At 34.9% G+C, this 25,252-nt stretch overlaps 1 protein-coding gene and 1 long non-coding RNA gene across 9 annotated transcripts in view; one reads left to right on the top strand and one right to left on the bottom strand.

The window, feature by feature from the left end:
- The window catches only part of GSTCD (glutathione S-transferase C-terminal domain containing), a 138,942-nt gene that overhangs the window by 34,354 nt on the left and 79,336 nt on the right, over positions 1 to 25,252 (bottom strand). The gene's annotated exons all lie outside the window — the stretch shown is intronic.
- LOC107986190 (uncharacterized) lies at positions 21,163 to 24,088 on the top strand. The gene is made up of 2 exons (XR_001741415.2): positions 21,163 to 21,343; positions 23,448 to 24,088. It is a non-coding gene; the product is annotated as an uncharacterized LOC107986190 (long non-coding RNA).

Below are 25,252 nucleotides of genomic sequence, written 5' to 3'. Positions count from 1 at the left end.
ATCATGTCTGCACTCAAAAAGTTCCAGGTTTTGGAGCATTTTAGATTTTGGATTTTTGGATTAGTGATGCTCAACCTGTATATATGAAGTCCACTGAATGGATATTCTTATTTGCTGGTATTAGCACTACTGAATGATTACGATGTGCTAAGCATATTTTATTTATTATATCAATCCTTTTTTGTAACAGCTCAATGAGGTTGGGTACTGTTATTGCATTATCAGATGAAAAATGTAAACAAAAATAATGAAGTAGCTTGCTTTGGTCACATAGTTACTCCATGATGGAGCCAGGATTTGAATCCTGCTGGTCTCAGTTCAAGGTGTGTGCTCTCACCTACCACCCCAGAAAACATAAATCCTTTATTAGTAAAATATTTTGAATAGGACCCAAATATACATAGTACTAACAATTTCTCTGTTAAATAGTAGTAAAGCTTACTGTCTTTTTAAGAAAAATAAATAAATATAACTTTTTTCTACTTTAGAATGCACTATGCTGCCTCCCCTCTGTATTTATTTCATCTGTTTTTCTGACACCAGAGAAATTTTCATCATTATTAAACATTATCCTTTTGATAATATATTTATTTCAATCTAAAATCAGCATGAGAGACATGCTAAAGTATATTTTTCAAGGAAATGTCATGTGGTGGGAGTGCTGGAGTTAAAACATATATATATAAATGGCTTGGATTTAGTAAAAAAAATATATATATTCAAGACTTACCTTAATGGTTATTGTATACCCAGAGTAGGTGCTTCTTTTGGCCACAACCTAATTCAGTAAATACAAATTCTCCTATGTCTTCACTGTTTAGACTTTTAAATGCAAAAGTAATGGACAATAGCTGATTTAAAACATAGTATACAGCCAGGTATGGTGGCTCACATCAGTAATGCTGGCACTTTGGAGGCAGAGGCGGAAAGACTGCTTGAGGCCAGGAGTTTGAGACCAGCCTGGTCAACACAGTGAGACCCTGTCTCTACATGAAAATAAAAATAAAAATAAAAATAAAAAACTATAGTGTGTAAGCATGCACAAGCACACATACGCAAAACCAACCGACCAAATAACCAAAGTAATCACAGCAATCCTGATGTTTACTTGCTAAAGGTATACTTTCTAGATTTTGATAACATTTAAAGAAATTTTCAGAAACTCAGAACCAAAGATTCTGGATTTGAAGTAAATTTACCACAGAAAAACTCAGGTGGGATGCGTAACATTTATCAGAAAGATGTCTATTATCTCTCTCTTGTCCTCTTATGGTTTGAAACATCATACTGATACCCAAAACTATACATAGTTCAGTTCACACTGCTCTCTAGAACTGTAGATCAGATTTTCCAATTGCATTCTTAATATATGCCTGTGCCATCCAGAGACTTCAAGCCAAACATGTCCAAAAACTGAACTCTTTTACCATGAAACTTGTTTTCTTCCTGATATTCTATTTGTTAATAATATCATCATCCACTCATCATCCTCCAACCAAAGCCACATCTTCAGTTCACAATTATTTATCACTTGTAATAGTCTTCTAATTAAACACTCAGATCTAAAGTCTCACCTTTTCATGCCCATTCCTTCTAAAATGCAAATGTGTTCATGCTATTTCCCTTCTTAAAAGTCTTCATTGGTTCCCCCACTGCTGATAGGACAGATTTTTTTTTTCTTTCTTTTATTATTATAGTTTAAGTTTTAGGGTACATGTGCACATTGTGCAGGTTAGTTACATATGTATACATGTGCCACGCTGGTGTGCTGCACCCACTAACTCGTCATCTAGCATTAGGTATATCTCCTAATGCTATCCCTCCCCCCTCCCCCCACCCCACAACAGTCCCCAGAGTGTGATGTTCCCCTTCCTAGATTTTTAACATTGAGACTTCATCATCTGGTTGAGCTCACTTCCTGCCACTCCTTTACTCCCATAATCTCATCATTCTCTGGTCAGATGAAACTACCAGTTATTCTTCAAACACGCCATGATGTATCATCTTTCTGAGGTTTTAAACATGCAGTTTACTTTGTCATGAATACTAATATTTCAGAAATTTCACACTTGTGGAACAGTAGTCTCTCAAGATACTAAGAGGAAAGAGATATAAAAAGATATTTAGAGAGAAAAATAGTGAGTTCTACCATCAGGTAGCTTTAGAAAATTAATACCTTTTCTATTTTTTTGGAGAATCGCAATGCCCACTAGCATAGTAAAAGTGCTAAGGAGTCTTGCAGTACAGAAAGTGTTTAATCCAGAATAACATAGTATTTCCCCAGATTACTTGACAACTGAATGTTTTTACTATCTAATTATCTTTAGGGACTATTTTAGGAATCTACTTCAGGAAATATTGCTTTATTTACCTCTTTGCCTAAAAATGCCTACTTGCTCTTTAAAATCCAGTTCCAATGAATGCAGTGAGTCAACAAAGACACAGATCAGATTCTTTAGATTATAGACCCTTCCACCTCAGGACAACTGTATTTCCCAGGGACCTCCAGAAATTACTTAAAATGCAAAACTCAGTTATATGCTACTTGGGCTCCTGTCACTGAGAAGGTAATATTAACATAAAGGAATAAAAGGCACCAAAATAATTTTTATTCCTTGAAATTGAGAGCTACAAAAATGATGTTTAAAAGTTCAAATATATTAGTTATTATAATATGTCTTCTTGAAAATTAACATAGGAAAACAACATGACATATACAATGTAAACTTTAAAAATATCCTGAGAACATAAAGTCATAAGTAGTGTTCACCGTTAAAATCAATCATTTAATTTTATAATGAAATAGCTAATTGTGTATGAGAACTCTTGAAGATAATGCTTAAAATTTAACATTTCTGGATACCCAGTAAAAAAACAGAATATAAACACCTCATTATCTTCTCTGAAATCCATCCCCTGATGTTAGAGACACAGACATGGTAGCATGAGGGCATTTATAAGTAACATTTGTGTATCTGCATACCCACAAAACAAGCATGATAATTTCCTCACTCGTTCAAACAAACCAAGAACTGCTAAAATCAGACTTGAGGTCTTATATATTTCTTCCTATTATTTAAATCCCACATATATATGATACACAGAGAAACCAAATAAATAGAAGAAAAAAAATACCAGGGCGATGTTGGTGAGTTAAAATTTTGCATTAGTTTAATCTTATAAACATGTGGCTAGTTTTACTTTTAATTCAATACAGAGAAGTTAGAACTTTCTCCCTTCATTAGCCAATATAAGACAGGTAGACTTCCTAGAGAATTATGTAGGGCAGTAAAATAAATACTTTGTATTGATGGCCTTTAAAATTCATAAATGAATGATTTAATAAAAGACTTTGTGCTATTATTTATAATAAAAAAAACTAGGTTAGCATCTAAGAAATTTGTTACCTTTTAAGGAATCATATCCAAATACTGAGAAAAACATACTGGGATTAGTAGTAGCAGCAGCAACACTATAAATAACCCATTAATTTATACAACCTAGAAAAACACAATTTCTCACTGCAGTATACTTTGAGACAATGTAAACAATGTCTTAGGAGGAAAAAAGACCAGGTATAAAATTAAGACTTACATTGAAAGTGGAAAAAAAAAAACCAACCTGTCTTTACTTGTCGTCATTAATAGAATACTAAGAATTTCAACAGTTAATTTAACAAATATTTATTAGGTGCTTAAGATGTGCTAGGCACTGTTTTAAGGGTTGGGTATATTGCAGTCCTTGCTGCCATGGAGTACACATTCCAGTGGGGGTAGATAGGTGATACACACAAAACAAATAAATATACTATATTAGGGGTTAAAAAGAAAAATTAGAAAGGGGAGAAAGAGCAAGGAAGAGTAAACGTATTACAGATAGGCTGACCTGAAAGGGCCTCTCTAATAAGGTGACATTGAGATCTGAATAAAGTGAGAGAGTAAGGTGTATGGATTATCTAGGGGAAGAGTTTTCCAAACAAAGAGAATAACAAGTATACAGTAGTCTCCCCTTATCCTTGGGGATGCATTCTAAGACCTTCAGTGAATGACTGAAACCTCAGATAGTATTGAACCCGACTGCCATCAATCAGACCACATTTCTGCTCATGTCTTCTACCCATGAATTTAAGGACTTTTCCATCTTAACCAAACACTTAAAAGACACTGAAATGGCCATAATTTTTGCAGCTTGAGGTATGGCAGCAAACCTAGAATGGATTCTTTTCCCTTCTTCATAATTTCATGGATAGATGTGTTCTTACCACAGATCTTAGCAATCTCAGCATATGAGTTTTTTCTGTCCTTATTAAGTCAATAACTTTTACTTTTTCACTTAATGCTTGCACTTTATAGCTTCTCTTCGGCATATCCAAACTGTCAGCATCATTACTTTTGTGCTTTGGAGCCATTATTAAGTAAAATTTGGACTCAAGCACTGCAATATTGCAGCTGTCGATCTGATCATCAAGATAGCTACTAAGTGACCATCAGGCTAGTAGTGTACACAGTGTGGATTTGCTGGGCAAAGGAATGATTCATGTCCCAGGCAGAACGCAGTGGGATTGTGCCAGATTTCATCATGCTACTTAGAATGATGTGCTATTTAAAAGTTATAAATTGTTTATTTCTGGAATTTTTCATTTAATATTTTTGGGCCACAGTTGACTGCGGGTAACTAAACCACAGAAAGCGAAACTGCAAATAAGGGAGGACTGCTGCAGTTAGTGAATTCCAGACCGCAGAAGAGAAGATCAAAGAAGTAGCCAGGGGCTACAGTATGCAAAGCTTTTTAATCTATGTGGAAACTTTGGATTTTATTTTGAATTAGATGGATTTGGGGACATTATTTGACTTAAATAGGAAGTCTAACTAGGTCACTACTGAAATAGTCAAGGCTAGACATGATAGTTGCTTAGATTAAGATACAGCAGTGGAGGTAGTGAGAAGTGATTTGACTTGAAACATATTTTAAAAACAGAGCTGACAGAATTTGCTGATGGACTGATGTAGAGAGTAAAATAAAGAGACAGGGATAACTCTAGAGTTCTGAGCCTGAGCAATTAGAAAGAATCAAACTGCCATATATTGTTTTGCAGTGGAGGTATAAGGACTAAGCCCTGAGTTTTTCAATGTTTAGAGATTTGGAAGCTGATAAGGAGACTGATAAGGGGTTATTCTACTGGTTTCTCAGAAGCAAACCAAGGGGTATTTCAAGAGAAAAATGATCAACTTTGTCAAATGCAGCTGATACACCAAATAAGATAAGGACTGAGACTAGTCTATTATATTTAGTAAACAGAAGTCATTAGTAACCTTGACAACAGCAGTTTTGTTAGAATGATGGGACAGAGGTCTGATTATCATAGGATCAAGAGAGAAGAAGGAAAACTGATACATGTACAAGGCATAATAGAAATACAAAAATCACCATTTAATAATGACCGTTGTAATAACTGATTTGCATAGAAATCATCAACGGATGCTAAAACCATTGAGGAAAACTTACTGGAGAACACGATGGTTTCAAAGTAGCTCCTCAGAGACTATTATTACAAAGGGAAACCGGTATTCTTACAATGAAGAAATCTGACAGACACCATATCAACCAAGTGATCAAACCTAATATCACAAACAATGTGTCAAACTGATACCATGTGCTCCCTGCTGTGGTATACTCAAGGCATACACCATTAGCTCTATAGTATGCTGGCCAAAATATTTGAGTCATTCTGTTGCAGTCTTGCCAATAGTTTAATTTTCATCTAATAGAGGAAATAGATAAATCCAAATTGAGAACATTCTGTAAAATACCTAGAATAGATTCTTTTTCAAAATGTTAAAGTTAAGAAAGACAAAACAAATTTTATAGGACAGGATCCTATATTAAAGGATACTTAAGATATATGACAACTAAAAACAATGCCTATCTTTGATTGGTTATTGCATATTCAAAGAGAGTGAGAGCGCTATTGAACAATTGGGAGAATTTCAATACAGGCAGTGTATTCCATAACATTATTATATTGATGTCAAATTTCCTGTAGGTGATAATTGGCTTGTGATTATATAAGAGAATGCCCTTTTTCTTAGGAGACACACGTTGAAGTATTTTGCGGTGAAATGTTATGATGTCTGCAAGGAACTCTCAAATGGTTGAAGAAAAATGTGTATGTCAGATAAAGAGGGAAGGTAAGGCAAAATAGTAAAAACTGGTGATTCTATATGAAGGCTACATGGGTATTCATTATACTACTTTTACAACTTTAAAAAATGGGTAATTTTAAACAAAAGATTGGAAGAAGAAAGTAGAGGAAGAGAAGATGAAGTCATGAATATCTAAGGAGTTTTGTTAAAGGGGAGCACGTAAATGGCGTGGTCGGTGTAGGGCTAAGTGAGGTAAGGGAGGATTTTAAAAAGTGAAAGTCACCTTAGAATTTTTGCTATCTGATTGGCATAACTGATAAGAAAAACTGCTGAGGACACAAGGGGATGAAATGCAGTGCACAGTGAGACATGGGCTTAAATGGGAATAGGATCGGAGGGCCTATAGCGTATGGACATAGAAACAGATATGTTGGTGTGTTTACTGATAAAATATGTAGAGCTCTTTCTGATTTTTCTATTTTCTCTTTGAATTAAGAGAGAAAGGGAGGAAGTACTGAACATTTGAAGAGAGGAAGAGATGATATGAAATACTTATATACACTAAGTTGACTTGGAAAATCTGTATACGGATGGTACCCACTTCCTTAAACAAAGTTCTACATAATTATAAAGATGAAAGAAACCCTAAAACTCACCAAGTCTAATCCAGTTATTTTATAGGCAAAAACATAGAGACTTGGATATTCTTTTTAATTGATAGGTTCAGAGTAGGGAAACAGATAATGTGGAGAAAATAAGCATGGTTTAATGGCCAAATATAAAAACAGTACCAATAATATAAACCATTTATTGGAATCCTCCTACATGGCAGTACTATGCTAAGAACCTTGTATACCTTATCTCCTGTACTGAAAACTAACTATAGAAAACTATATAAAGGTCTGCATTTGTCCTCCATTTTCCATATGAATAAAAGAAGCTCAAAAAGTTTAGATACTCTCTCCACAGTCAGATACCTATTTTCATTTGTACTGGAGATATCTAAGTTAGTCTTATTTTGAGGGATTTTCAATAAGACTGCAAACTCTTATATTTATTCAACTCTATACCAACTGTTACAAGTCTTTGTACCTAGATTTTCAGATATGTTTATTGAATCAAACACTTCAGTAAACTTGACACCTATTAAGGACACAGTGTTGATCATCAGACACTAAGGAAAAAGGAGATGAATGAAAAAGGGACACAGGCAGAAACTGAAGTAGTAAATATAATGCAAAATCAGCCTAAGTTTTTTCACTGATTAAATATACAGATGATGCAAACTGGATTCAATGCTGATTGACATTCTAAATTTCTAACAGATGTAATGGGAAAATTTCTTAAAAAAACAGTGTTTCATACATGTAATAACAATAATGGCTTACATAGGGGGAGGGAAAGAAGAAGAGGCAGAAGAATGGAGGCTAAATTACTGGTAATTTATAAATTCTCATATAACAAGGGGAGCTTGAAAAGTAAAACTTTCATTGCCTCACTTTAGTGCAATGCCAGTTTTTTAATCCCTTCCTGACCCATTTTTATTCAGCACTGAAAAGGGTACATTGTTTGATTTGGGTATTAGCTTTTAAGGAGATTAGTTTCCAGGAAAAGTAAAGCATTTTGCATAAAAGAGCGATCCTGATACAAGGCATCAGAGTATACTCTGTTCCCAAACCACCTGTTAAAAAACAATAAAAACCAAACAGAATCTTACATTCTATTCCCTCCCAAAATGACAGATGAAATTAAAAATAATTGTGTATTAAAAAATTCTCAATGAAAAATATATTAGAAAACCTTTCAAAATAGATGTGCCTTCTCGAGTTTTAATAAAAGGGAAGCTGAATCCTTTTATTCATAAACAAGAAATGAAAAGTAATAGATTTTTTCTTATTCATGGATGTCAATCTGCATTAGATTATTAATTATGGGTTATAATGCAATTAAAATAAAAACACAGTGGAGAAATACATAAAGCTTCTAAATCTTCATGTAATTTTTCTTAGAGATTTCTGGCTTGATCTTAACCCTTCAGAAAAATTAGTCCACATATTCCATATGGGTTTCAGATTAGTTTTTTCTTAGCCCTATCAGTTTTAACACCCTTTTACAATAAATATTTTATAATATCCCTTTTCAATTATTGAATTTAGCTTATTGACCTATGTAATCTAAATAAAAATAAATATAATAGCTGTAATATGAAGGAGAAATAAAATCAGTATTTTACTATGCAGCCATAAAAAAGGAACGAGACCATGTCCTTTGCAGGGACATGGATGGAACTGCAAGCCATCATTATCAGAAACTAACACAGGAACAGAAAACCAAACACTGCATGTTCTCACTTATAAACGGGAGCTGAACGATGACAACACATGGACACATGGCAGGGGAGCAACACACACAGGGGGCCTGTTGGAAGGGAGGGTGGAGAGCATCAGGAAAAATAGCTAATTGATGCTCGGCTTAATTCCTAGGTGATGGGATGATCTGTGCCACAAACCAACATGGCACACGTTCACTTATGTAGCAAACCTGCGTATACTGCACATGTACCCTTGAACTTAAAATAAAGGTTGAAGAAAAAAAGAATCAGTATTTTAGAATAGAATAAGTATTGCAATGTGTAGATGCTCAGTCATGATTACTAGAGGGTAAAAAAATGTCCTCCATGAATTTCTACAACACCCTCAGGTATTTAACAGAAATTTCTACAATGCCCTCAGGTAATTAACATTAAATAATCATGACATATAAATCCTCTGAATTAGGTGACGCTTTCTCTAAAATTTAACACAATGTTTTGTTACTGAAATTTACTCTTCACTAACCCAAAGCACCAGAATTTTTAGAAGACATACTATAATTTAGGGGATTATTCTATTTTGAATAATTCCTTTTCATAAAAACTATCTAATAAATACTGTTATCCAAACTCTATTTAATAGAAAAGTTTCTTTATTTAAATAAATGAATATTATTTTAAAAGCAAGCTTCCTGATATAGCCATCTGTTTATGTTTTACATTGTAATAATAACAATAATGAATCACCAATCTGACATTTTTGGAAAATTTCTGATAACTAAATACTACCAGATAACTAAAATATACTCTTAAGAACCAGTTTTTTTGGTTCATAAATAGAAATACATTTTAAACTACATGAGTTATAAATAATAATGGTGATGATAAAAACTACTGAAGTATCCATTATCCAGCTTTACAAAAACAAAAAATTAGTAGTATTTTTGAAGTCCTATGTACATATCCCTAACCAACTGTATCTCCCTCACCTTTCCCAGCCCTGAAATAACCACTATACTGAATTTTGTGTTTACCATTCTGTTGGTTTTCTTTTGAGTTTTACCACATAGATATGTATTTCTAATAATATATCATTCAGATTTGAAGTTTCCTAAACTTCATATAAATGGAATTATATGTATAATTCTTGCATTTTTCATACAACATTATGTTTTCAAGTTGCATCCATGTTGACACATGGAGTTGCATTTTTTTTTTCACTACTCTTAGTATTCCATTTTAGAGCTATGATATAATTTGTCCATTCTCCTGTGGATAGTCATTTGGGATATTTCAATTTTTTCTGCTATTACAAATAACCCAAAACATTTTTTACAACTTTGAAATTTCTTGTCAGTTACATGTTTCCTAGCCTTCTTTAAAAAACTTGAACATAATTTCATCTTTTCTTAATGACTGTGTCATATTTATGAGTATCAATTATAAATAATATAGCATTATAATAATGCCCTCAGGTTATAGAGATACATATTCTAATTTTTATGAGAATCAGTAAATTTAGTCTGCTTTTTATACTTTTTCTATCTCCTCTCTGACTCTTAAGCTATTGGCAAGAACTTCTTGATGCTATCAATGTTTATTTTAACATTTTCTACATTCAATATTTCCCCTGTAGAACTGGAGGCCAGCCATTTGAGAATAGTACCAACAAGAAGGAAAAATAAATTATGACTGAAAAACCAAATGGGAGCTTTTCTCAGGGAAATGCATGTTGCCATATGAGATGAAAAATATTGTGAAAGGAACAAATGTTTTGGTATTTCATATTTGGCCCATTCATTAGCTGTCTGACCTTGTCAAATACTTCTGAGTATTTGCCTTTCATCTGTAAAATGTAAATAACAATAGTATTTGTAGGACTATTGTGAGAAATAAATAGTACTGCAGCAGAGTCCCAGCAAACCAGTGGCCTTCAGTAAATGTAAGTTGCTTATCCTTCACATCTACTCACCTCACACTAGAGTGTAGGGTGTTTGCCCAACTACTTCAAGAGATCAGAGACTTCTTGGCTTACTCCTGATTCCAGATACATCCTACGTGATCCCAGATATATGACAATCTTTATAGCAATGTGGTGTTATTATAGCTTTACAAACATAGCAAACGCCACATTATAAATGTTAAGAAGCAGATTACTATTGCAGAAAAACTGGATTATGGCTTAAGAGAACCTCCTGAATGCAAAGAAGAGGACAGAGAGAAAAAAGAAGTTAAAGGGAAGAGAAATATGAGGAGTATGGTGAATAGATGATGAAATGTAAACTTATGGATAACCAGTGTTCCTGAAGACAAGACCAGAATATATGGAAGGAAAATTTTATTCAAAATGTAAATTGTTTTGAAGGAAGGAAATATTACTAGACAGAAAATAGTTATAAATTATATTTCAAAGAACTCACCTGGTATGGTAAAAATAACAAACAAAAAGATTCTACTGCCTTTAGGTATCCTAAGAAAAAAATGAATAAACAGGCAAAGGTTTTGATCAGACAGAACACTTTAAGTATTAAGGCATGAAGGCAGGATAACAGGTTATGCACAAGTATAGAAAAGAGGCTGGCCTCAGATCACTCTACAGTATTATATGCCACATAATGGAGCAACATTTGAAGAGAGAATTGTGGCTTAAGAATACTTTACACAGCTGCATTTACATATGAAGGCAGTAGAAACATATTCAAGTATTTAGAGAGATACCTTCTCTGACAAAACAAGCAAACCAAACAAACAATATCATGATGTGCCAAGCTTTAGTCTAAGTAGTTTTTATATACTGTACTATCCCATTTCATCCTCATAAACATTATCCTCATTTTACAATAAGAATAAATTATATCCTTCATTATATTCATTTTACAATTAGGGATATCCTTCATTATCTATATTTGACAATGAAGTTAAGAGTGTGCTTACAAATGTTAATAAATTTGCCCAAGTCACACAGCTAGTAAATAGAAAAGTAGAAGTCTAACCAGGTCTGTCAGGACTCATAGGTTTGACTTCATAAGCACCCACTGAATGGCTCTTGGAAAAGAAAATTTTTAAAAGAGAAGTTATAAAATGATGCTAATTATCACAAGAAAATAACAGTGGATTTTATGTAATCTTGGTGCAGATAATTTTTCTAAATCTGTCATCAAAATTTGGTTTTAATTTTATTTACTTTAAATTTTTGTTCCCAACATAATTACCCATTTTTCTTTTCATTAAAAAAATCAGAGAATACTGCATGCTCATTACAGCAGAAGAATGAATCAAACAATATATTGATGAACTTTATACAGAAGTCATGTTACCCATAATAGATACTTATTTACTTCTTAATTTGATTTCATCAAATTAAATCATAATTTTAACATGTCATTTTAAGTCATTTCATTACTTTAAAAAACTTGTAAGAAGAAAACTACCCTTTATTCTTTAACACTATCACCCTAATAAAATTCATTTAACAACGTTTGCACTCATTCCGTCTTGATATCTCCAAGGCCTAGAGTAGAATGGATGAGATACAGTCAATTCTCATTATTTGCAGATTCTATATTTGTGCATTTGCCTACTTGCTAGAATTTATTTGTAACTCAAAAATCCATTCTTGAGTTGCATTTGTAGTAATTTGTGAATATGTACAGAGCAGTGAAATATTTGAGTCACCTGATTACATGTTCCTAGCTGAGGTTGCACTTGATCTTAGCCAAAAGGTCGAGAAGCAGTCCTAGCTGAGGTGGAACAAGATGACTATCTTTCTTGTTTCAGCTCTCATATTATAAACAAGTATCCTTCTCATGGTCCATTTAGTTCTACATTTTTCAAATTTTTGTGCCTTTTTTGGGTGATTTTGCTATTAAAATGGCTGCCAGTGCTGAAATGCTGTCTAGTTTTCCTAAGTACAAGAAGGCTGTGATGTGCCTTATAGAGAAAATTTATGTTAGATAAGGTTTGTTCAGGCATGCATTATGGTGCTGTTGGCTGTGAACTCAGTGTAAATGAATCAACTATATATATTAAATAAGATGTCTTTAAATAGAAGCACATATAAAATAAGGCTATCAGTTGATAAAAATGGGACCAGAGGCTTGCAAGAACCTAACCCTATATTTCCCCAGGAGCAGTGGTTCAGTATTTGCCAACTCAGTGTTTGTAGTGACTTCATAAAACATAACTACTACGAATAATGAGAATTGACCATATTATTGGGCAACTATTATGCATCAATAGCAATTGACATCAATTTTGAATATTCTCTTCCTTGCTTTGCCTATGTGTGGAATAATTTCAAATATTTTTGCATTTTGTGTCATACACATTTATAAAATCCATCATTTTGCTTTATAGGCTTAAACATATTTTTCACTTTTTCTTCATGTTCAGACTTGGGAAAAATTTCAAACCCAAGATTCTTAAAGGTTAGAAAGCTCCCCCAAAATCAGTGACATCAGGCAAAACTGCCTAAATGGTATTGATATGGTTTGGCTGTGTCCCCACCCAAATCTCATCTTGAATTATAACTCCCACAATTCCCACGTGTCCTGGGAGGAACCTGGTGGGAGGTGATTGAATTATGGGGGTGGGTCTTTCCTGTGCTGTTCTTGTGATAGTAAATCTCATGGGATCTGGTTGTTTTAAAAATGAGAGTTTCCTTGCACAAGCTCTCTTCTTGCCTGCCGCCATCCACATAAGATGTGACTTGCTCTCCTTGCCTTCCACCATAATTGTGAGGCCTCCCCAGCCATGTATAACTGCAAGTCCATTAAACCTCTTTCCTTTGTAAATTGCCCAGTCTCGGGTATGTCTTTATCAGCAGTGTGAAATGGACTAATACAGGTATTTGTAAATTTCTATGTAAGTACAATAAAAGGATTTAATAATCTTCCGTGAAAGCCATGTCAATGAAGAATTTTCACCCTCCTTTTACCCTACACCCTTAAGTAGGCCCTGGTGTCTACTGTTCCCTTCTTTGTGTCTATGTGTACTCAATGTTTAGCTCCCACTTATAAGTAAGAACAAGCAGATATACCTCTTTCTTATTGTGCTTTAGAAATACTGTGTTTTTTACAAAATGAAGATTTTTTTTTTTTTTTTGCAACGCTGTGTTAAGTCTATCAGTGCTGTTTTCCCAACAGCATGTGTTCACTTTATGTTTCTGTGTCACATTTTGGTAATTCTCATAATACACCAAACTTTTTCATTATTATATCTGTTATGGAGATCTGTGATAAGTGATCTTTGTTGTTACTATTGAAATTATTTTGGGGAGCCACGAACCATGCCCACTTAAGACAACAAACTTAATCAATAAATGTTGTGTGTGTTCTCACTGCTCCAACAACCAGCTGTTCTCCTGTCTCTCTCCCTCTCCTTGGGCATCCCTATTTCCTAAGACACAAAAATACTGGAATTAGGCCAATTAATAGCCCTACAATGACCCTAAGTGTTCAATGAAAACAGTCACATGTCTCTCACTTTAAATCAAAGGCTAGAACTATTAAGGTTAGTGAGGAAGGCATGTTGAAAGCTGAGACAGACCTCTTGCACGAGCTAGCCAAGATATGAATGCAAAGATGTTCTTGAAGGAAATTAAAAACGCTCCTTTAGTGAATACATGAATGATAAGAAAGCAAAATGCCTCATTACTGATATTGGGAAGTGTTTGTGGTCTGAATAGATCAAACCAGACAAAACATTCCCTTATACAAACGCCTAATCCAGAGCAAAGCCCTAACTCTCTTCAATTCTATAAATGCTGACAGAGGTGAGGAAGCTACACAAGAAAAATTGGAGCCTAGCAGAGATTGGTTTATCAGGTTTAATAAAGGAGATATCTCCATGACATAAAAGTGCAAGATGAAACAGCAAGTGCTGAAGTAGAAGATGCAGCAAGTTATCCAGAAGATCTAGATAAGTGATGAGGTGGCTCCACTAAAGAACAGATTTTTCAATGTAGATAAACTAGCCCTCTATCAGAAGAAGATGCCATCTAGGACTTTCATATCCAGAAAAGGAAGTCAATGCCTAGCTTCTAAGGACAGGCTGACCACTCTTGTTAGGGACTCATACAGCTGGAGACTTTATGTTGAAGCCAATGCTCATTTACCATTTTGAAAATCCTAGGGCCCTTATAAATGATGACAAATTTATTCTGCCTGTATTCTAGAAATGGAATACCTGCTCAGAGCATGTTTTAATAAATATTTCAAGACCATTATTGAGACTTACTACTCAGAAAAAAGATTCCCTTTAAAATATCATGACTCATTGACAATGCATTTGGTCACTCAAGAGCTCTGATGGAGATCTACAAGGAAATTAATGTTGTTTTTATGTCTGCTAACACAACATCCATTCTGCAGCTCATGGTTCAAGGAGTAATTTTGACTTTCAGGTCTTATTACTTAACAACTTCATTTCATAACACTATAGCTGCTATTGGTAGTAACATCTCTGAAAGATCTTGGCAAAGTAATTTGAAAACCTTCTGGAAAGGATTTGCCAATCTAGATGCCGTTCAGAACATTCATAATTCACAGGAGGAGGTCACAATATCAATATGAACAGGAGTGTTGAAGAAGTTAATTCTAACCATCATGGATGACATTTTGAGGGGTTTAAGACTTCAGAAGAGGAAGCAACTGTGGATATAATGGAAATAGCAAGAGAACTAGGATTAGAAGTAGATCCTGAAGATGGGACTGAATTGGTGCAATCTCATGATAAACCTGTACAGATGAGGAGTGGCTTCCTATGGATGAGCAAAAAAAGTGGTTTCTTGAGATGGAATCTACTCCTGATGAAGATGCTGTGAAAATATTGTTGAAATGACAACAAAGGACTTAGAACACTATATAAACATTGTTGATAAAGTAGCAGCAGGGTTTGAGAGGACTGACTCCAATTTTAGAAGTTCTATTGTGACCTGCCTGGCCAACATGGTGAAACCCTGTCTCTACTAAAATACAAAAAGTCAGCCAGGTATGGTGGTGCACACCTGTAATTCCAGTTACTTGGGAGACAGGAGAATCGCTTGAGCCCAGCAGGCGGAGGTTGCAGTGAGCCAAGATCGCACCATTGCATTCCAGCCTGGGTGATAGGGCAAGACTCTGTCTCAAAAAAAAAAAAAAAAAAAAAAAAAAAAAAAAGTTCTATTGTGTGTAAAATGCTATCAAACAGCATCAAATACTACAGAGAAATAGTCTGTGAAAGGAAGAGTCAATCCATGCAGTAAACTTCATTGTTGTCTTATTTTAACAATTTGCCACAAACCTCAACCTTGAGCAACCACCACCCTGGTCAGTCAGCAGCCATCAACATCAAGGCAAGACCCTCCACCAGCAAAAATATTATGACTTGCTGAAGGTTCCAATGATGCTTAGCATTTTTTTTTTAGCAATAAAGTACTTTTAAACAAAATTATGTATGCTTTTTAAAGACATAATGCTATTGCACAATGGACTACAGTATAGTGTAAACACAACTTTCATGTGCACTGGCAAACCAAAAAATGCATGTGATTCACTTTATTGCAATATTCACTTCATTGTGGTAGTATGGAACTGAACCTGCAATATCGCCAAGGTATGCTGGTATATGAACACAACTATCCTTGTGTGATATTTACTCCAATTATTTATTTACAAGTTCCAACAGGGAAAAAAATAGGACAGGAGAAAAAAAAATAACAAGAAAAAAGTTGAGGTAGTGGGAAAGAAATTAACTAACTACCTAACATGATAGGTATGACTATTAAATCCTGGTGTCTGTGAGCCTATACTGACAAACTTGGCCTCCTCTGCTGAACCCAGACGCACACACACACACATACACACACACACACACACACACACACACACACATGTATCTCTGTCTCTTATCATTTCCTCTTCAACCTTTCTCCATACCCAAGTCAATCTTTTTGAGGCACTGGAGCTTTTCTTGCCTCAGAAGAAATGGAGTTAGCCTGGTGACTGCAGGAACTTCTTGGAAGCCGATCCTCTATACATAGAAGTGACTGTATGTCATATAAATATAGCTCCCAATCCAAACTAAATGCACATCCAATTCAATTTCCTCTTACCCATTTCCAAAAATTACTGATGTATAAATCTGTAGCTTTTTGAAAGTTGGCAAATAATTTAAAAAGATGTTTTAGGAGTATATGGCCTAATCAATACATATCTGTGGTTTTCTGGCCCAAGGACCATCAGTTTGTGACCTTTATACCAGAAGCCAAAAGTAAGGGGGTTGGAGAGCAAAGAAATATGATCAATTTGGCAAAATTCAGGAAAACAGAAACTAAAGACAGTAAGAAAACATGAAGAATAAAGGAAAAAGATACATTGCCTAAATAAAACCAGACCTGGCAAATGTTGTATTTGGCTACCAAAAGATATGAATGCTCAGATTTAATAATAATAAAAACATAAAAATCAGCTAAAATAAAAATGATATGACAAAAAATGGAAATAAGAGTGAATATCAACATTCCAGGTCAATATGGTTTGGCTGTGTCCCCACCCAAATCTCATCTTGAATTGTAACTTCCACAATTCCCACATGTCATGGGAGGAACCCAGTGGGAGGTAACTGAATCATGGGGTCAATTCTTTCCTGTGCTGTTCTCACAATGGTGAATAAATCTCACGAGATCTGATGGTTTTAAAAACAGGAGTTTCCCTGCACAAGCTCGCTCTCTCTCTCTTTGCCTGCTGCTATCCATGTAAGACACGACTTGCTCTCCCTTGTCTTTCGTCATTATTGTGAGGCCTCCCCAGCCATGTGGAACTATAAATCCATTAAACCTCTTTCCTGTATAAATTATCCAGTCTCGGGTATGTCTTTACCAGCAGTATGAAAACAGACTAATACACAGGTAAAGTTAACAAAAGGAAACAAAAGTTGCAATATTAATATCAGATGAAAGAACTCAAGGCTAAAATATTAAATAGCTAGTGAAAGCTCGATTCTACAGGGATGCAGCAGTTGTGAATTTTTATGGACAGAACAGCAAAGTATCAAAATATGTAAAACAAATAGTGTTAGAAAAAAAGACTCTGAAAAGCCATCATCGACAAGGGAAGCTAAAATACACATTTTGCAATTAAATCACAATCTATAGGTCAGAGGACTGAATGTTTAAATAATTAACAAGGTGATCTATAAATGTTTACATGTATGTGTACAACTGGCTGGAGCTGAGAAGGGATCAACCTCCCTAAATGTATGTGAAGGCAGGTTTCCTACTTGGATCTAGCCAATTGTTGCCAGGTGGATTACAGGCCTAATGATTTTAGATGCTTCAGCAGAATCTAAAGATGTTTTATTTATGAATAGATACACACATGCACACAGGTATGAACTTTGTGTCCAGCTTAGGCAGAATATACATTCTTAAATGCCCATGAACACTTATGAAATTGATCATACACTGGATTAGAGATTCTGCTCACAATGCAACAAAAACTGTCCTTAAACTCATCCCAACAATAAACACCTAAAAATAAAAAATACTTCATAAATACTCTAAAATATTAATCAGAACAAAAGCACTACTATTAAGAAATGAAGAACAAGGAGAACATGATATATCAATACTTATGAGATACAACCAAAGCAGGTCTCAGAAAAATGTCTACAGCTTTTATAAGATACATTCATTGGAAAACAAGAAGCATGGAAAAATAAACAACAAGTATTTGATCCAATATATCAAGTAAAACCCACAATATACAAGGAAGGGTGGCTCATGCCTGTAATCCCAGCTCTTTGGGAGGTCAACGTGGGTGGATCACCTGAGGTCAGGAGTTTGAGACCAGCCTGGCCAACATGGTGAAACCCTGACTCTACCAAAAATACAAAAAATTAGCTGGGTGTGGTGGCGGGTGCCTGTAATCCCAGCTACTCAGGAGGCTGAGGCAGGAAAATCACTTGAACCCGGGAGGCGGAGGTTGCAGTGAGCTGAGCCCGCCACTGCACTCCAGCCTGGGCGACAGAGTGAGACTCTGTCTCATAGATAGATAGATAGATAGATAGATAGATAGATAGATAGATAGATAGATAGATAAATAGATAGATAGATAAAAGCAGAAATAATAAAAAGTAAAAACAAACGTGGTAGAAATAAAAAGAAAAATCCAGCTCAAATTTTGGAAATGCAAAAGACTCCAGTAAGTTTATTTCATATATGAATATACTTTCTTGGTGAGGATATGTTGAATAGAAGACATTTTATAGGCCACAGAGTTGTTAAACCCTTGGGCAGTTCAGAAAAAAAAAACACCAAAAATATTAAAACATGTGAGTGTGTTATAGACTTTATTTTTTAGAGCAGTTTTAGGTTCATAATAAAATTAAGCAGAAGCTGTAGAAATTTGCTATATATCCACCTAACTCTTGCTCCCCTCCCCTTGACAGCCTTTCTCATTGTCAGCATCATGAACCACAGTGGTACCTTTGTTAATAGTGATGAACCTACATTGACACATCATAACTCAAAGTCCAGAGTTTATATTAGGGTTCATTCTTAGTGGTATACATTCTATGGGTTTGGACAAATATATAATGACATATATCTACCATTGTAGTATCGTACGGGGATGTTCATTGCCCTAAATATCCTCTGTGCTCCACCTGTTCATCTCTACCTCCTCCCAGTAGTCCGGCAACCACTGATCTTTTCACTGTCTCCATAGTTTTGCCTTTTTCAGACTTATACAGTTAAGATGTGCTTTTACTGTTATATTTCAAGTACATGAATAAGAAAACATTATTATGTAAGATTAATAAGGATCAAAATGCTTCATGAGATGCTCATTTTCTGTATATGTCTTATAATCTCCGGAGTATTAAAAACAAATAGTTTTTGGACACAGAGAGAAAAGCAGCTCATCTCTTTTCATACCAAATCAACCCACAGTTTCACAGGAATATAACATATGTTCTCAAATTATTTCATAGTAGGGATAATCCTATTAAAAACTAAAATGCCAGCAGTATGTGTTCCAGAATTCAAGCTTTACAACATTATAATTTAATGGGCATGCCCTGCTTAGTGAGCCCTTAATCTAACTTGAAAAGATCACAGCATAGCTCTGTCAGGGTGGGCTTCATGCTATACTAAAAGTAACCATAAATTCATTAATTTTTTTTACTGGCTTGTGGAAAAGGGACTTAGATCTTGGCTGCGGTGGGTGGGGGCAGGGAGTGAGAAGCAAGATTATGCAGTATGCGGAGATTTGAGGTAGAAACTGCACACTATAAAGAGCATTCCCTTAATAATGCATGTAAAAATATAGGTAGGGTGGTAGGGTAAATATGAAATAAAACTTGTAAGGCATATTTTTTTCAATTCAATTCAATTCAGTTAACACCAAAATAGGCATTTTTAAGAATGAACTCTGTTTTAATCTTAAAGAAAATTCCAGACAATCATATTATTTCACCTTGAAATATGTCAGTATGTATCTCTTATAAAGATTTTTTTTAAAAAAAAAAACATAATCATGATATCACACCCCAAAAAATTAGCAATAATTTCTTATTTGTAAGCTTGAAAACAGATTGATCAGAGATAGGGCTTAGGAAATAAGGTAACAGAATACAAGAAAACCTTACAAAGGTCTTGACAAAATTGCTGAAGTCTGGTGTCAGTATATATTAAATATACTAGTGCACATCTTGCTATAGGTTGTTATAGGTCAGAGATGTTTCAACTCCATTTAATTGCTAGCGGCTGATTAGAGAGTTAAGATTTAGATAACACTTATAAAGGCTAGCATATGGTCAAATGTAATGCAATTCAGTTAGTATTACTCTCATACTTTTATATGAGACTTTTATAAGCTTGACTATTTTTACAAATTCTAATTTAGATTTATATAAATATTAAGATTACAGATTTTATTACACAATTGAAATCAACACTAAAAAGCTTTAAGTCATAGAAACTGTAGGCTTTCCTTGTTCATTAAAAATAAGCTGTTTGAATTTCAGAATGATTGTTTCATATTTGCACATAAAAGCAATTGCTAGACTAAGCTTCATTATAACTAGAATGATGTAGCGGGAATTTAAGCAGAAAATGTCTAAGTTTCCTTCTGGCAGTAAAGATTCACAATTCTAAAAAATACTGCTCTTTTATGTAGATCATTTTACAAGAGATTTACCAGGGATCTTATAGGTCATCTAGCTCAATCTCATTTTCAATGCAGGGAAACCCTACTCAACATGATATTAATACTTTATAATTAACACTAAGTTTTGATACCAAAATCAACTCATGCTAGCCTTGTCTGTTCTAATTTAAAGGTTCTTGATTTGTTTAGCAGTCTAATTCGGCTCTAGTATTTTTTAATATGCCCGGATTCTGATTTCTTAAGTATTGACTACGACTGATTTCTCCAGGTCAATGTTTCTGACCCTGATCTGCTAATAGTGCCCTAATCCTAGGTTGCTTCTTGTAGCTCATGGCTTGTTTTTCTTCCTCCCAGCTTACAAAGAAGAATCTGAGCCTCTTCCCTGAACATTCAGGCTTTCAATGTACCATATAAAAAAATGAAGTAAACTTAACCCATTTAAATTATGGTTCTCAGGGTACTGTGGGATAGTTTAAATTTTCAAAGAAAATACAGCTTTGTTGAATATCTGTTGGATACCACACAGACTACTAGATGAGACAGTTCACAGTTTCAACAGTAGATCACACTACATTAATTTTATTGACATCATATTTTTTGCAAAGTTGGATTTTTAGTAGTTGCTGTAATAGAAAGCCATTCTTAGAATCACTGTGGAACAGAACATGAAGAGCAGTGTCCAATCTGATCCTATTGTTTGAGAAGTTATGAAGTCCACAACAGAAGCATATATTACATTTGTAAGTAACTGGTTAAGAATGACATAAAACATTATTTTCCTTAAATTTCTGTATATTTTTCCCTAAGGGCTCCTAAGTTTTTTAGATATAAATGCTTATTAAGTTGTTTGGACATAATTATCTAATAAATGAAAAAGTTATATATTTCCTTTGGTCTAGTAGTGCTACGAAAAAATTACCAACATGCTAAAAGTGAAAGTTTGTAAAGCTCTGACATATAGATTCTTCTATGCATTTGGAATACTGTATTTAATCATTCAACAAAAGTTTTAAGTACCTAGTGTGTTTTAGGAACTGTTTTAGGTTCTGGGAATCCAGTAGTGAATGAGATGGAAAAAGTGTCTGTTCTCATGGTGTATATGTTCTCAAGGAGAGAAAATAGACAATTTTTAAAATGTATAATTGCTATGAAATATTACACAGAATAACCTGATAATGACAGGAATGTGGAAGGACAAAGTTTAGTTACGATGCTGGAGGCACATTTCTCTGAAAAGGTAACTTTTGCACTGAGACACATCAATGACATTCAAAGCAATTTAAAAACAAACAAACAAACGTGTTTTACTCATCAACAACCAAATAGTTCTACATCTTATCATTCCTTGTTCCTTTTTTCTTTTTTTTTTTTTTTTTGAGACGGAGTCTCGCTCTGTTGCCCAGGCTGGAGTGCAGTGGCGCGATCTCGGCTCACTGCAAGCTCCGCCTCCCAGGTTCACGCCATTCTCCTGCCTCAGCCTCCCGAGTAGCTGGGACTACAGGCGCCCACCACCACGCCCGGCTAATTTTTTGTATTTTTAGTAGAGACGGGGTTTCACTGTGTTAGCCAGAATGGTCTCGATCTTCTGACCTCGTGATCCGCCCACCTCGGCCTCCCAAAGTGCTGGGATTACAGGCATGAACCACCGTGCCCGGCCAGCCCCTCTTTTTTCTTAATAGACTTCTCTATTATATCAGAGGAATGGCTGTCTTCTATTTCTGTTCTGGATTGTTTTTTTGGCCATGAGAAAAATCAGTTCACTTTTCCTAAATGAGAAAGTGGTTCTTAAGTAGAGGCGTTTAACAACTCATTGTTTGCTAGATATATATTAGCTGTCCATGCTTTAGTACAGTGATAAAACAATAAGGATGAGTGGATGTTGGTTATCACTTCCTTTTTAGCTAACAACTGCTCTGAAAACATAAAATTTTTAAAAAAAAGGCACTGAGGGCAATTTCTGTTACTTATATCCTTAATATCTTTCCTCAAATCACAAATTGGGTGTGTTCCCTTTTCTACCTTACCTCCATTGCTCTGTAAGGTTTATTCCCCAACATTTGATGGCAATAAGCACTCCTAGATCCAAGCACAGTGCTACTGCTGCCGTTTGCTTTTTCTTTTTTGTGGGAAGACAGGGTCTCCCTCTGTTGTCCAGACTGGAGTGCAATAGTGCAATCATAGCTCACTGGAGCCTCAAACTCCCAGGCTAAAGTGATCCTCCTGCCTCAGCCTCCTGAGTAGCTGGGGCTACAGGCATTACCACTACACCTGGCTAATTGTTTTAAAATTTTTTTACAGACAAAAATCTTACTATGTTGCCTAGGGTGGTCTTGAACTCCTGGCCTCAAGCGATCCTCCCTGGGAATACAGGCATAAGCCACCATGCCCAGCCTTGCCTTTCACATTTTTAAATCATATTAATGCTCTTAACTTGGCTTTAACCTATTTTATTTGAATCATAATGTAAATTATGTAAGGATTTGTAAAGCATACTAATGTCCATATCTATCATTTTCTTAAAAATATGAGTTTATTGTAGAAGCATCCAACTAACAAATCCAGATCAAGGTGTGTAGTTTGAAGTTTTAACTGGGAGGTCTCTAAGTTAGTTTGCTGTCAACATTCCTAGTTCTCCTTTACAACTTTGCTTCTATACTTGGCACGGATTTCCACTGAGTAGAAAAGCAAAACTAGTAATAATATCAAACTATTCTTTTTTTCTCTGCATCTTTCCCCTACTGCAATATTAAGAGTAATCTGGTGAGTTGCAGTGAATTAAAAGTAATTTATCCTCTCAAAAAGTAAGGGTTATTATGTCATTAACTTTTTTTTTTTAATGACTAGAGAAAATTCAAAAGAACAATGGGCTGACTGAGAATTGAGAGATCAGGAAGCTGGCCCTGCTTTGCCACTAACAAAATGTATGTATGACTGGGCATTTCACTTATTCGGGTCTCTGTGGTAGGCAGCATCTAAGGTACTTCCCAATGGTCCTCCCTCCTGTATTCACACCTTTGTGTAATCCTCTCCCCTTCATTATAGGCTGAACCTAGTGACTCACTTCAAATGAGCAGAATATAGTAAAGGGGATGGGATGTCACTTCCAAGTCTGTTTAAGTTATAAACAGACTGTGAATTCCCTCTTTGGCTTGCTTTCTCCATGGCACACTCTGAGGGAAGCCAACTGCGATGCTCTCAGCTGCCCTACAGAGAGGCCCGTAGCAACTAATGCTCCCAGTGAACAGCCAGTGAGGATCTGAGACCCTCATTCCAACAGTACTTGAACAGGATCCTGCTAACAGACATGTAAATGGACTTGGAAGTGGGTCCTCTCCAAGTTGAGCCTTGTGATGAGACCACAGCCCAGCCTACACACTGACTGTGTAGCCTTGTGAGAGGCTCTGAGCCAGAGGGCCCACCTAAGCCATCCCAGGATTGCTGGACCACAGAAACTGTGAGATAATAAATACTCGCTGTATAAACCACTAAGTTTTACAGTAATTTATTATGCAGCAATAGATAATCAGTACAGCCTGTGTTTCCTTTTCTGTTATATAAAGAGTTTGGTTTAAACGAGCTTTTGAGTCCCTTTCTAACTCCAACATTCAATGTGTACACTTACATTGGTTGCAAAGGCAAAAAAGAGAAAACACATATAGACACACAAACTACACTTTCATGTCTTAATAATAAAATTCACAGTTCAAAAATCTATGGTAGTTTTAAATAAGGTTCAAGATTTGGTCACTTCCCCTTGAAGACACGTCATCTCTATTAGCAGCACTGCAATTAAAAAGAAAACCTAGGAAAACAGTCTTCTTATAAATGTCTTGTTAATGGGGAGATCCGAAATTCACATTTGTCCACTATAAGAACTTGACATATTTGGGTTAAGGAATACAACATGCTTGGCAGTCTTTGCATTAAAAAAAAGTAGGGATAATATAAGAAATTTATTTAGTTATCATAAATGTCAATAATATACAAAATATCTTAATTTATACTACACAAACAAGATATATTTTGTTAAAACTATGTGTCAGTTAGGTACCTGCATTTACTTTATTCTAAAGCTCTTTCTGAAAACTTTATTCTAAAGCTCTTTAGACTGTGATAAAGATGTGTATCTTAAACCCTAAGGAAACTACTACTTTTTTTTAAGTGAGATATACTCAATAAGTCAATTGTGGAGATAAGACAGAATCATAAAAAATACTCAAACTGCCTCAAAGCAGGCAGAAAAAGAGGAAAAAAGAACAAAGAATAAATGGGTTAAGTAGGAAACAAAGTGGCACAAATCTAATGTTCTTTCCAGTAAATTTTAAATTATTAGAGAAAACAGAACAACATAGTGGAATAAACAGTACAAGAGTGAGAAAACGGGCTTTAGCTCTAACTTTGCCATTTTTTAACTTTGTGACTTTGGGAAAACTGGTTTAACTATTTGTAAAATGGACAAGTAGAAATCATCTTTGGTAACTTCCAATTATAAAACTCTATGAATCTAATGGAAAATGTAGGAAATATAACTTCTAAATATTTAAAAATGTAAAACAAATGGCGGTACACTATAATTCAATGGGCCATCCTTATAAAGTATTTATGAAACCACAGGGAAAATATTTATGACACAATTCAGGAGGAAAAAA

Source organism: Homo sapiens, chromosome 4 (assembly GCF_000001405.40).
Source record: "Homo sapiens chromosome 4, GRCh38.p14 Primary Assembly".
NCBI classification, from domain to species: Eukaryota; Metazoa; Chordata; class Mammalia; order Primates; family Hominidae; genus Homo; species Homo sapiens.
The sequence above is the reverse complement of the archived record's forward strand: the minus strand, read 5'-3'. Positions and strand labels throughout refer to the sequence as shown.